The sequence below is a fragment of the Homo sapiens genome, chromosome 16 (assembly GCF_000001405.40).
Source record: "Homo sapiens chromosome 16, GRCh38.p14 Primary Assembly".
Taxonomy (NCBI): Eukaryota; Metazoa; Chordata; class Mammalia; order Primates; family Hominidae; genus Homo; species Homo sapiens.
The window spans coordinates 66,529,441-66,541,484 of record NC_000016.10 but is presented as its reverse complement, the minus strand read 5'-3'; the positions used below and the strand labels follow the sequence as shown (position 1 = coordinate 66,541,484).

Sequence of the window (12,044 nt, the reverse complement as noted above, 5' to 3'; positions counted from 1 at the left end):
CATTGCATTGCATCCTGAGCAGCAGGAGTGAAACCCTGTCTCAAAAAAAGAAAAAAACCCACAAAAAATAAAAAGGACATTTTATTTCACATAACATATGCCAAATGTGATCATGTCAACATTTAATCAATATAAAAATCATCAATGAGCTATTTTGCATTCTATCTTGTTATACTAAGTCTTTGGAATATGATACTGGTTGAGCATCCCTTATCTGAAATGCTTGAGACCAGAAGTGTTTTAGATTTCAGAATTTTTCAGATTTTGGAATATTTGCATAAATGTAATGAGATATCTTGAGGATGGGACCCAAGCCAAAACACGAAATTCATTTATGTTTCATATATACATAGCCTGAAGGTAATTTTATACAATATTTTAAATAATTTTGTGAATGAAACAAGTTTGTGTTAAGTATTTATGTGTGGAATTTTTCATTTGAAGTGTCATATCGGTTTCCAGAAAGTTTTGGAGTTTGGAGCATTTAGGATTTTGGATTTTTCAATTAGGGATGCTCAAACTGTTTGTATTTGTAAAATAAGTGTAACTTATAGCATATCTTAATTTGGACTACTCATATTTCAAGGTCTTAATAGTTGCCTGTGGCTCATGGCCACTGTATTGGACAGTGCAAGTGTTGACTGCCTCAAAGTCTGGTTAGGAAAAGAGTCTACATGGGTAAGAAGAAAGGACAGGCTATTGAGCAGGGCTAGAAGTGTGACATCTGAGATAGCAATGTCTGAGCAGTGGGTATTACTATGCATAGGCAATTAATTTAATTTCTAGTTCATTTAAAGCCTAGTCACTAAAACTAACCTCAGAGATGTTTAAGAATCATCTCTACACTAAGACATTGACCTGTCTTCCTTGTTCTAGATTTTAGTGGTATAATCTTCTCTATTGATGGCTCTCTTTTGTTACTACAGAAGCTACAATTTCTATACTTTTATAGTCATTTTCTTTCCTTCTTCCCTTCCTTTCCTGTTTTTACTTCTGCTAGAAATATATGCATGGCCAGGTGTGGTGGCTGATGCCTGTAATCCCAGCACTTTAGGAGGCTGAAGGGGGAGGATCACCTGAGCCCAGTAGTTTAAGAGTAGCCTGGCCAACATGACAAAACCACATGTCTACAAAAAATACAAAACTTAGCTGGATGTGGTGGCACATGCCTGTAGTCCCAGCTGCTCAAGAGGCTGAGGTGGGAGGATTATTTAAGCCCAGGAGGTTGAGGCTGTGGTGAGCCAGGACTGTGCCGTTGAACTCCAACCTGGGTGACAGAGTGAGGCCCTGTCTCAAAAAAAAAAAAAAAAAGAAAAAAGAAAGAAAGAAAAGAAATATATATAGTTTGATAAAAATAATAATAAACATTATATAGCCCTTGTCCTGCTGTGTTCATGTGCTGCTGTGCAGGAAAGAGTTAACATAGCAGACCTAAGACTGCTGCCCTTTAGAAATGCCTGCTTGCAAGGGTGGTCTTTGGCTGGCATCTGGGAACTTAGATCTTGGGAGGGCCCCCACCATTCCTAACTGATAACAGTGGCTCTCTGCTTAAATTGTTTCTGCAAACAGTATGGTTTATGCTGACACCTGCTTTCTTCCTGGGAGTCCGGAATTTTGGTACATGTCAGGAAGTGGTTGTCTGCATGGCTGAGCGCTGATGAAAACCCTGAACTCCCAGGTTCAGGCCAGCTTGCCTGCTAGACAACATTTCACATGTATTGTCACATCTTGTTGCCTGGGGAATTCAGTGTGTACTGTGCAGCTCCTCTATGAGAGGACCCTTGGAAGCTTGTGCCTGGTTTCCTCCAGACTTTGCACCTGCCCTTTTTCCCTTTGCTGATCCTTTTTTCTTTTTCTTCCTTTTTTTTTTTTTTTTTTTTTTCTGAGATGGAGTCTTGCTCTGTCACCCAGGCTGGAGTGCAGTGGCATGATCTCGGCTCACTGCAACCTCCGCCTCCTGGGTTCAAGCAATTCTCCTGCTTCAGCCTCCCAAGTAGCTGGGATTACAAGCACCCACCACCATGCCCAGCTAATTTTTTTGTATTTTTAGTAGAGATGGGGTTTCACCATGTTGGCCAGGCTGGTTTCAAACTCCTGACCTCAAGTGATCCACCCACCTCAGCCTCCCAAAGTGCTGGGATTACAGGCGTGAGCCACCGTGCCCGGTCCCCTTTGCTGATCTTGTTTTGTGTCCTTTCGGTGTAATCCATCTTAGCTGTGAGTATGACTGCGTGTTGTGTCCTGTGAGTTCTCATGAATCATCAAACCTGGGGAGGAGGGGGGGCTTGGGGACTCTTGACCCCTGTCCTGAGTGATATGACTCTTAATGGCACTTTAGAAGTGCTTATAGTCTCACTGAAGACCTTGGACCCGATTAACAACGATAGTTAACATCCAGTGAGTATACTGCTATTTGCCCAACACTGTGTTGAGGGTTCATCATAAATACTAAATGATCTCACCCTCACAAGAATAGTCCCTCTGAAGTAGGTACCATTTTTACCACAGTTTTAGATGAGGAAACCATGGCCTAATGAGGTTAAGTGGCTTGTCCAGGGTCGCTAGGCCAGTGTATGATACAGCCAGATCCCAGCCCGGATACAGCCAGATCCCAGCCCAGGCTGTCTGGTTCCAGGGGCCACACCCTTGTTTGATTCTGTGGTACGAAGAGCTTTGTTGGCTTTAGGAAGACCACTCTCCCTTCAGATCTGAGCTCCGTGTCCCCTGACCTTCCCAGCGAGGTTATGCTTCCTGACAGAGGATCCCCTGGCCGCTCTGTACCTCTCTTTTATACCACTTCTTGGGGTTTGAAAACATGTTGGCTTCTGTGATTACCTGAGTAATGTCTGCTTCCCCTGGTAGGCTTAAGGTTCTGTGAAGGCAGAGGCTGGGCTGGTTTTGCTATTGTTGTGTCCTCAGTGCCTAGCATGGATATCTGGCACACAGTGGGCACTCAATAAATGTTTGTTGGGTGACAGTGCTATGGATGGAGCACCCCTGAGCTGGGTCGGGGAGCAAGGCTGCCTGTGACCCAGACTCTGGTGGGCCTGTGTGGTGCTGTGTATGCTACTTAGGGGCTAGGAAGAAGACCTAGAAGAAGGAGAGGGGGTTTGAGAGGGGCAGGGGAAGGGCATATTTGAACTGGATTTTGAAGGGTATACAGGAGTTTTCCATGTGATGAAAGTTGATGTGAAGTGGAATGGGGTGGGAATGCTGGTCAGAAGAAACAACGTAAGCAAAGACACAGAGTATCTTGCTTGAGGGTGGATCACTTGAGGTCAGGAGTGAAGGGTGGGGGGTGATTACTTTTCTTTTCTTTTTAGAGACGGAGTCTTGCTCTGTCACCCAGGCTGGAGTGCAGTAGCGCGATCTTGGCTCACTGCAACCTTTGCCTCCTGGGTTCAAGTGATTCTCCTGCCTCAGCCTCCCGAGTATCTGGGATTACAGGCATGCACCACTACATCCGGCTAATTTTTGTATTTTTAGTAGAGATGGGGTTTCACCATGTTGGCCAGGCTGGACTTGAACTCCTGACCTCAAGTGATCTGCCTGCCTTGGCCTCCCAAAGTGCTGGGATTACAGGTGTGAGCCACTGCACCCAGCCAGGGTGGCTACTTTTCAAGAGTTCCATGCATTGCCTGCCATTGGTCTTTTGTCACCTATGGCCCCTTCTCACATGTACTCTGAAAGTTCCCAGATGGATCCTGGCACTCTGAAGATCTTGGCCCCAAGAACACCATTTAAATCTTTTCTAGCACACACCTGCATACCCAGAAAGGCTCTAGCAGAGTCTGGGGTTGTCCCAGATTTGTGTGTCTAGACCACAGATGGAGGCTCTAGAAATGCCCAGCAGAGATCCTGATATGTGTCTGAAAACACACAGGATGTTGGAGAGATTGGCAGTCATCCTAAAAGGTACAAACAGGACCAGAGGGAAAGAATGCCTCCAAACCAGTGAGACAGGGAGCGTACTAAAGAAACAGGGACTATCAGCAGCCAGTGCACCCAGTGCAGTGATCAGAGGCAGGAAACGGAGGCAGGTGGCCTGCCAAGGCCTAGCCCTGTCCAGTGTCCCTCCTGGCTTCTCCCACCCACCTGCCAGCTTGATGTGGTAGGCAGGCAGGGGTGGGATAGAATACACAGAAGAGGGATGGACAGAGCCAGCTCTGACCTTGGGGAGGCTACCAGGGCAATAGAGAGGTAGGATGTACCTATGCTTGGCACATTGGGTAACATGGATAGAGTTATTCTCAGGACATTTCTGGAAGTAATGTGAGGAAGCCGTGTCTAGATAGAGTTGTGACCTCACGGGGGTTGTCAGCTATTTTGGCCTACCTTGGGCACCCAAATTTGGATAGTCTTTTTCTCTCTTTTTCCCTTCTCTCCTCACTTTCCCCTCAACACTTACACACTTTTACAGGGTTCAGCACAGAGAAACAGTAGCTCTGATGTTTTCTTTCCTTCCAGGTGTTAACGGAGCCTGTGTCCAAGTGGAGAAATGTCCGTGGCCACAATCCTCTGGTGAGTGGGTTGTTGGTTGCATGAACCCCCGGCTTCCCCTTAAGCACCTGAGAATGATGGTGCCTCTGCCTGAGCCCTGCCTGCCCAGGCATTCTCTGCGCTCTTAACTGAGTTGGAGAAGACCAGGGAGGGACAAGCAGAAAATGGTGGCATGTTGGTGTTCTGAGGTCAAGGATCTCTGAGGCCTGAGTGGCTGTGCACAGAGCCTAGGGACTTCCCGTCAGCTATCCCATACTATTCCCAGTGGCCGACCTTAGCCACTAGGGGTGTCCATTTCTTGTTGCTCATTCCAGCCTTCCCCTCCCCTAGAAGAAACCTATCAGAACCCGGGACTTCTCAGGCCTAACCCCCCCAGGACCTATCTCTAAGTAACCAGGATCCTTGGTGGACCCCTGACTTGGGTTTGCAAACTTGGCCCTGTCTGGTAACAGGGGCCACCTCTGGCTTACCTGGAAGCCACCAGCCTGCTTTCCCAAGGGTGAACCTAGCAACAGGGGCTGTAGTGTGCTGTGTCCCTTCCTTCACCTTCCCCAATTCGAGGTTCTGCTCTGGTTGCTTGAAAGAGATGGATAGAATCTGGGTCCTGCAAGAGAGAGCTTTAGAAGAGGATGTTGGTTCTGAGCTCCCATCCCATGAGGTAGGGATGATTAGTCTCATTTTTCAGCTTAGGAAATTGCACTTATATAAGTTGCCTGAGGTCACACAGCTAGTAAATGGACTTGGAAGCCTGTGCTGCCCTGTGATTTTTTTTTTTTTTTTTTGAGATGGAGTCTCAGTCTGTCCCTAGGCTGGAGTGCAGTGGCGCGATCTCGGCTCACTGCAACCTCTGTCTCCCAGGTTCAAGCGATTCTCCTGCCTCACTCTCCTGACTAGCTGGGACTACAGGTGCGCACGACCATGCCCAGCTAATTTTTGTGTTTTTAGTAGAGACAGGGTTTTACCATGTTGGCCAGGATGGTCTCCATCTCCTGACCCTCATGAGCCACCCACCTCAGCCTCCCAAAGTGCTGGGATTACGGGCGTGAGCCACTGTGCCCGGCCATGCCCTCTGATTTTTAGCAACACAATTGGCATCTCCTGTGTGGTTCATTAGACTCTGAGTTCTACTAGGAGCAGGGACTGTATCTACTTTGTTCATTGTTATTTGCTAAAACCAAGGCACACTGCCTAGCACTTAGTAGGGGCTTGTGCATTCATCCATTCATTCAACCAATATTCAGTGCATGTCAGCCATGTGGCAGACACTGTTCTGGATGATATGGCAGTGATAAATTCAAAGCCCTTGCTCTCCTGCCCCTAATATTCCAGTGTGGGGAGGCAGAAGTCAAACATATAATCTGGCGGGTGGTGATAGGGCCTAGGAAGAAAACTAAAGCAGGTGAAAGGATGTTTCTTAAATAAGGCAAAACCTCTCAGTCTTTCAATAAAGAATCCTAAAGAGACATGAGAAGAATTTCTTCTCTGTGCATTCGGGAGAAGATGGAATACCAGTCATCTTCTTTGGATATAACAAAGAAACCTCTGTAACATTCATATTCTCTAGAAGCCAAGGAGGAACCCAGGCTTAGTTATTAAGTAAGACAGCTAGAGTTGCAGGTGTTAGGGATCATAAGTGACGTTTCACGGGACAGAATCACAGCCTCAGAAGTCTTAGTGTCCTTGGTACAGATAGCCTTTTCAATGAGAGTTTCCTAATAAAAAATACAATAGAAGTAGCCATTTTTATATAAGTTTCCACTCTAGACCAAAAGAAAGATCGATACTTTTGTGAAAAATCTCAATTCATCACTTTATCTGAATTGGTTTTCTGATGCAGAAAGGTGACTGTTTCTGCGGCCATCAGGCAAGAGGGAGTGTTTCTCCTAGCCTTTATGAGATTTTCTCTCAACTGCAGTCAGAGGAGTCTGCAGTTCTCAATGAAGAACACTGGAGTTTCATTAGTTTGCACCAAGAGAAAAATGAAAAGCAAAAATGAGGAAAAGGCCGGGTGTGGTGGCTCATGCCTGTAATCCCAGCACTTTGGGAGGCCAAGATCAGAGGATCACTTAAAGCCAGGAGTTTGAGACAACCCTGGTCAACATAATGAGACCTCCATCTCTAAAAGAAATAAAAGTAAATAAAATTAATTTAAAAATGAGGAAAGGAGCAGAACAGGTTTCTTAGCAAGTATGCTGGAGCATGAAGTGTTTTGCTTCTAGAAGGGATGGAGAGTGATTGAGTAGGTGGGTTGGCTTCTGTTTTACATGAGATAACCAGGGAATGTGTCTATGATAAGGTGCTTAAACATGAGGGTGTGAGCACTGCAGATATCTGGATGAAGAGTGTTTAGGCAGAAGGCGCTGCAGAGGCAAAGGCCCTGAGATGGGACCATGCTTGGCATGTTTGAGGAATGCTAAGTAAGCTCATGTGGTTGGAAGCCAACCAGGCCAGAGGGAGATGGGTAGGAGATGAGAGAAAGCCTTGTGGGCCATGATAAGGGTTTGGATTTCATTCTGCATGCAATGGGAAGCCACTGGAAGGTTCTGAGCAGGGGAGTGGCAAGAACTGATTTAGGTTTCACAGACTCACTCTTGTGGCTGGATAGAGAACAGACTACAGAGGGCTCAAAGACCATTCACTGAACGACTTGAACGCATGTTCCTTGGTGATTTTATTTTATTTTTTGAATTTCCAAAGAAAAGTAATTTATTTTTTGCAGTTAGGGCAGCTGAGAAGTCCAGGGTTGAAGGGGTGCATCTGCTGAGGGCTTTCTTGCTAGTGGGGACTCTTCAGAGTCCCCAGGTGGTACAGGGTGTCACATGGTGAGGGAGTTGAGCATGCTAGGTCAGGTCTCTCTCCCTTTTCTCATAAAGCCACCAGTGTAAGATAACCCATTAATCTATTAATCCGTGAATAGATTAATCCATTCAAGAGGGCTCTGTACTCATGATCCAATCTTTTTTTTTTTTTTTTTTTTGAGACAGAGTCTCACTCTGTCGCCCAGGCTGGAGTGCAGTGGCGCGATCTCGGCTCACTGCAAGCTCCGCCTCCTGGGTTCGCGCCATTCTCCTGCCTCAGCCTCCCGAGTAGCTGGGACTACAGGCGCCCACCACCACACCTGGCTAATTTTTTGTATTTTTTAGTAGAGACAGGATTTCACCGTGTTAGCCAGGATGGTCTCCATCTCCTGACCTCGTGATCCGCGCACCTCGGCCTCCCAGAGTGCTGGGATTACAGACGTGAGCCACCATGCCCGGCCGATCCAGTCATTTCTTAAAGGCACCACCTGCTACATACTGCCACATGGGGGATTAAGTTTCCAACACATGAAATTTAGGGGATTCATTCAAACCAAAGTATTATTTGTTAAAGATGATCTTAAAGAGCTTAACTTCTTTAAAAATTTTAAACTTATTTATTTATTTATTTATTTTGGAGATAGGGTCTTGCTATATCACCCAAGCTGGAGTGCAGTGGCACAATTATAGCTCACTGTAACCTTTAACTCCTGGGCTCAAGTGATCCTCCTGCCTTGGGCTCCCAAAGTGCTGGGATTATAGGCATGAGCCACTGCACCTGGCTCTCTTTTCTTTATGCTAGAAACATTCAAATTATTCTCTTATAGCTTTTTTTTTTTTTTTTTTTTTTTGAGATGGAGTCTCGCTCTGTCACCCAGGCTGGAGTACAGTGGCATGATCTGCCTGGCCAGCATGGTGAAACCCCGTCTCTACTAAAAATACAAAAAAATTTAGCTGGGTGTGGTGGTGCATGCCTGTGATCCTAGCTACTTGGGAGGCTGAGGCAGGAGAATCGCTTGAACCCAGAAGGTAGAGGTTGCGGTGAGCTGAGATCATGCCACTGCACTTCAGTCTGGGTGACAGAGCAAGACTCTGTTTAAAAAAAAAAAAAGATTTTTATCAAAAAGACAGGTGATAGGTGTGGAGAAAGGGGAACCCTCATACATAGTTGGTGGGAATGTAAATTAGTACAGCTACTATAGAGAACAGTTATGAAGTCAGGCAGTGTGATGCCTCCAACTTTGTTTTTTTTGCTCAGGATTGCTTTGGCTATTTGGGGTCTTTTGTGGTTTCATATCAATTTTAGGATTTTTTTTTTCCCTATTTTTGCAAAGACTGTCATAGGTATTTTGATAGAGATTACATTGAATCTGTAAATTGCTTTGGGTAGTATTGTCATTTTAATAGTATTAGTTCTTCTGATCCATGAGTGTTGAATATCTCTTTTTTTGTGTGTGTTCTGTTCAATTTCTTTCATCAGTGTTTTATAGTTTTCCTTGTATAGATCTTTCACTTCTTTGGTTAAATAGATTCCTAGGTATTTTACTTTTATTAATTAATTAATTAATTTATTTTTTTTTTCGAGACAGGGTCTCACTCTGTCATCCAGGCTGGAGTACAGTGGTACGATCTCGGCCCACTGCAGCCTCTGCCTCCTGGGTTCAAGCGATTCTCATGTCTCAGCCTCTAGAGTAGCTAGGACCACAGGTGCGTGCCACCACACCCAGCTAATTTTTTGTATTTTTAATAGAGACAGGATTTCGTCATGTTGGCCAGGCTGGTCTTGAACTCCTGGCCTTGAGTGATCTGCCTGCCTCAACCTCCCAAAGTGCTGGGATTACAGGCATGAGCCACTGTGCCTGGCTGGTATTTTATATTCTTTGTAGCATCGCAAATGGGATTCCTTTCTTGATTTCTTTCTCAGGTTGTTCACTGTTGGTGTATATACATGCTACTGATTTTTATATGTTGATTTGTATCCTGTGGTATTACTGAGTTCGTTCATCAGTTCTAACAGTTGTTTGGTGGAGTCTTTAAGGTTTTTTTTTTTTTTTTTTGGTCATTTCAACTTTTATTTTACTTTTAGCGGGGTACATGTGCAGGTTTGTTACCTGGGTATATTTCATGATGCTGAGGTTTAGGGTATGATGGATCCCATCACCTAGGTACTGAGCATAGTACCCAATAGGTACTTTTTCAACCTTTGCCCCCTCCCTTCCTCCCCACTCTAGGAGTCCCCAGTGTCTATTGTTGCCATCTTTATGTCCATGAGTACCCATTGTACCCACTTATAAATATCCACTTAAAGTGAGAACATGCAGTATTTGGTTTTCTGTTCCTGCATTAATTAGCTTAGGATAATGGCCTGAGTCTTTAAGCTTTTCTAAGTGTAAGATCATGTTGTCCGTGAACAAGGTTAAGATGACTTCTTCCTTTCCAATTTGGATGCCCTTCATTTCTTTGTCTGGCCTAATTCCTCCGGTCCCTCGGAGACTTTCCATAGGCTCCTATTATAGCTGTTACCATACTGTCCTATAATTGTTTCAGTGTCTGCCTTTGTCCACCCTGCTGTCAGAGCCCTGTGATCATGCTGGGTTTATCTCCAGCCCCAACCCTGCCTGTGTAGGTTTCTTGAGCTGTCCTTCAGTGCCTTGTGAGACCAGGGTCCTCCTGCAGATGCCACTTTGATGGAAAGTGCTGTGTTTTCCCTTCTGCAGGGCCTGATGTACCACGATGCCTCTCGCTGGGGTCTTACGCTACAGACTTATGTGCAGCTCACCATGCTGGACAGGCATACTCGTCCTCAGGTAGGTTTCAGATGCTCAGTTTCAGCCTTCTTAAACGTTTTCTTCAGACTTGGGGTATGTGATTGCCAGGAAGGGAAACTTTACAAGGAAGCCAGGCTAGGCCTTCAGTGCTGTGCAGGCCTCTCTGTGTGGGGCCAAGGTCTCTGGCTTCTGTGGTTCTCTTCTGACCTGCCTCTAGTGCCCCCACCTGCAAACCTCAGCCAGCCAGGTGGTGCCCCTGCCACCATTCTGAGCTCACATCTTTATGACCTGACCACTGCTGGGCTTAATGCCGTTTAACTCAGTTCTTCTCAAAGTGTGGTCCCTGGACCAGCAGCGGAAGCATCACCTGGAAACTTGTTAGAAATGCACATTTTCAGCTGGGTGTGGTGGATCCCACCTGTAATCCCAGCACTTTGGGAGGCTGAGGCATGCGGATCACCTGAGGTCAGGAGTTCAAGACCAGCCTGGCCAACATGGTGAAACCCCATCTCTACTAAAAAATACAAAAATTAGTCTGGCGTGGTGGTATGTGTGTGCCTATAATCCCAGCCACTTGGGAGGCTGAGGCAGGAGAATGGCTTGAACCCAGGAGGCGGAGGTTGCAGTGAGCTGAGATCATACCACTGCACTCCAGCCTGGGTGACAGAGTGAGACTCTGTCTCAAAAAAAAAAAAAAAGAAAGAAATGCAAATTTTCTAGTCACATCCCAGACCTGCTGAATTAGAAATTCTAGGGATGAGGCCCAGCAATCTGTGTTTTATCAAGCCCTCCAGGTGACTCGAATGCATGCTTTGTTTGTTTTCATATTTGAGAACCACTTATTTAACCTTCATGGGGTCTGGCTCTTAGTTCAAATTCTTGAGACAAAGAATCTGATTGGTTCAGCTTTGGTCAGGTGTCCAGCCCTGGTTCAATCAGGTGTTGGGGACAGGACCCCAAGGCACAAACATGGCTGCTTAGGCCTATTCCATCAGTGAGGATGCATCTAGAGACAGAGTCTCTTAGAAGAAAGGGGGCTGTGGAGGTCCTGATCAGCACCTATGTTTCAAAGCTGTAAGCACAACCTATGATGCCAGCTTTAAGGCTCTGCATGAAGGAGACAGACTGTCCCTACAGCCAGTTAACACTGGCACAGCTGCTGGGCTGGACAGTTCGGTCCCAGTCTGGGTACCTGCAGCAATAGCTACCATTCTTCTGTAAGTCTGTCTTTTAAAATTGAAAGATGTGAGTGGGCCGTTTTTGGTGAATAAGAATTTCCATCTCCCCAAATATCTGTCTAAATTGCACAAATCCACAAATCGAAAGATCTGAGGTTAGTGCATTTTGCCTTTGCTAATTTGCTTTTCCTGAGCAGGCACTCAATTGCAAACCTAAGTTGTATCTAATGATATTTGAATAGGAAGGGATATAAATGCACTCCTCTATTTAAGGAAATCTACCTCAGGAGGCAGAGAGAGATGGACAGACCAGGAAAGATGAGCAGAAGGAGACCAGAGGGATGAATGGGGAGCTAGGAAGTAAGGAAAGAGAGGATGGAAGAATGGAAAGGAAGATGGATGGGCAGAGGATGGATGGACAGAGGGACAGCAGGGAGAGGGAGGAAGTGCCTGGGTTATGGCTTTGAATCTGCCTTGGATTTGTTGGCCCAGGTCCCATGGGTGCTGTGGGCCATGGCCAAGTGAGAGTAGTGTTAGTGTGCCTGGCATCAAGGGTCAGGGCGCCTCTTGCTTCCCAGAGGAACGCTGGACAAAGGGCAAGGTCGTCTGCAGAGGGTTTGAGCATCCTGGCAGAAAGGGGCACTGTCAGGCTGTCTTCCTCCCTCTTGGGCATCGTTCTTACCAGTTTCCTTGGGCAGAGCCCCCAGAACGTCACCCCCAACCCGACCCTCTTGGGGCTGTACCTCATGCATGTGGTCCCTCTGCTTAAGCAAACTCACCCTATTTAGGTCCGTGGTAGT

The 12,044-nt window shown here is 46.0% G+C and overlaps 1 protein-coding gene across 8 annotated transcripts in view; it reads left to right on the top strand.

Annotated features, from left to right (window-relative positions):
* Nucleotides 1-12,044, top strand: part of TK2 (thymidine kinase 2) — a 42,289-nt gene that overhangs the window by 8,807 nt on the left and 21,438 nt on the right. For 7 of the 8 annotated variants that reach the window (NR_073520.2, NM_001271935.1, NM_001172643.1 and 4 more), the window contains 2 exons: nt 4,468-4,521; nt 10,016-10,105. Coding sequence is in view for 7 of the 8 variants with exons in the window: in NM_001271935.1 (NP_001258864.1) it covers nt 4,468-4,521; nt 10,016-10,105 (144 nt within the window). In the remaining variant the exon portion in view is untranslated. The remainder of the gene's footprint in view (nt 1-4,467; nt 4,522-10,015; nt 10,106-12,044) is intronic. The other variant, NM_001172645.2, reaches the window with a different exon arrangement.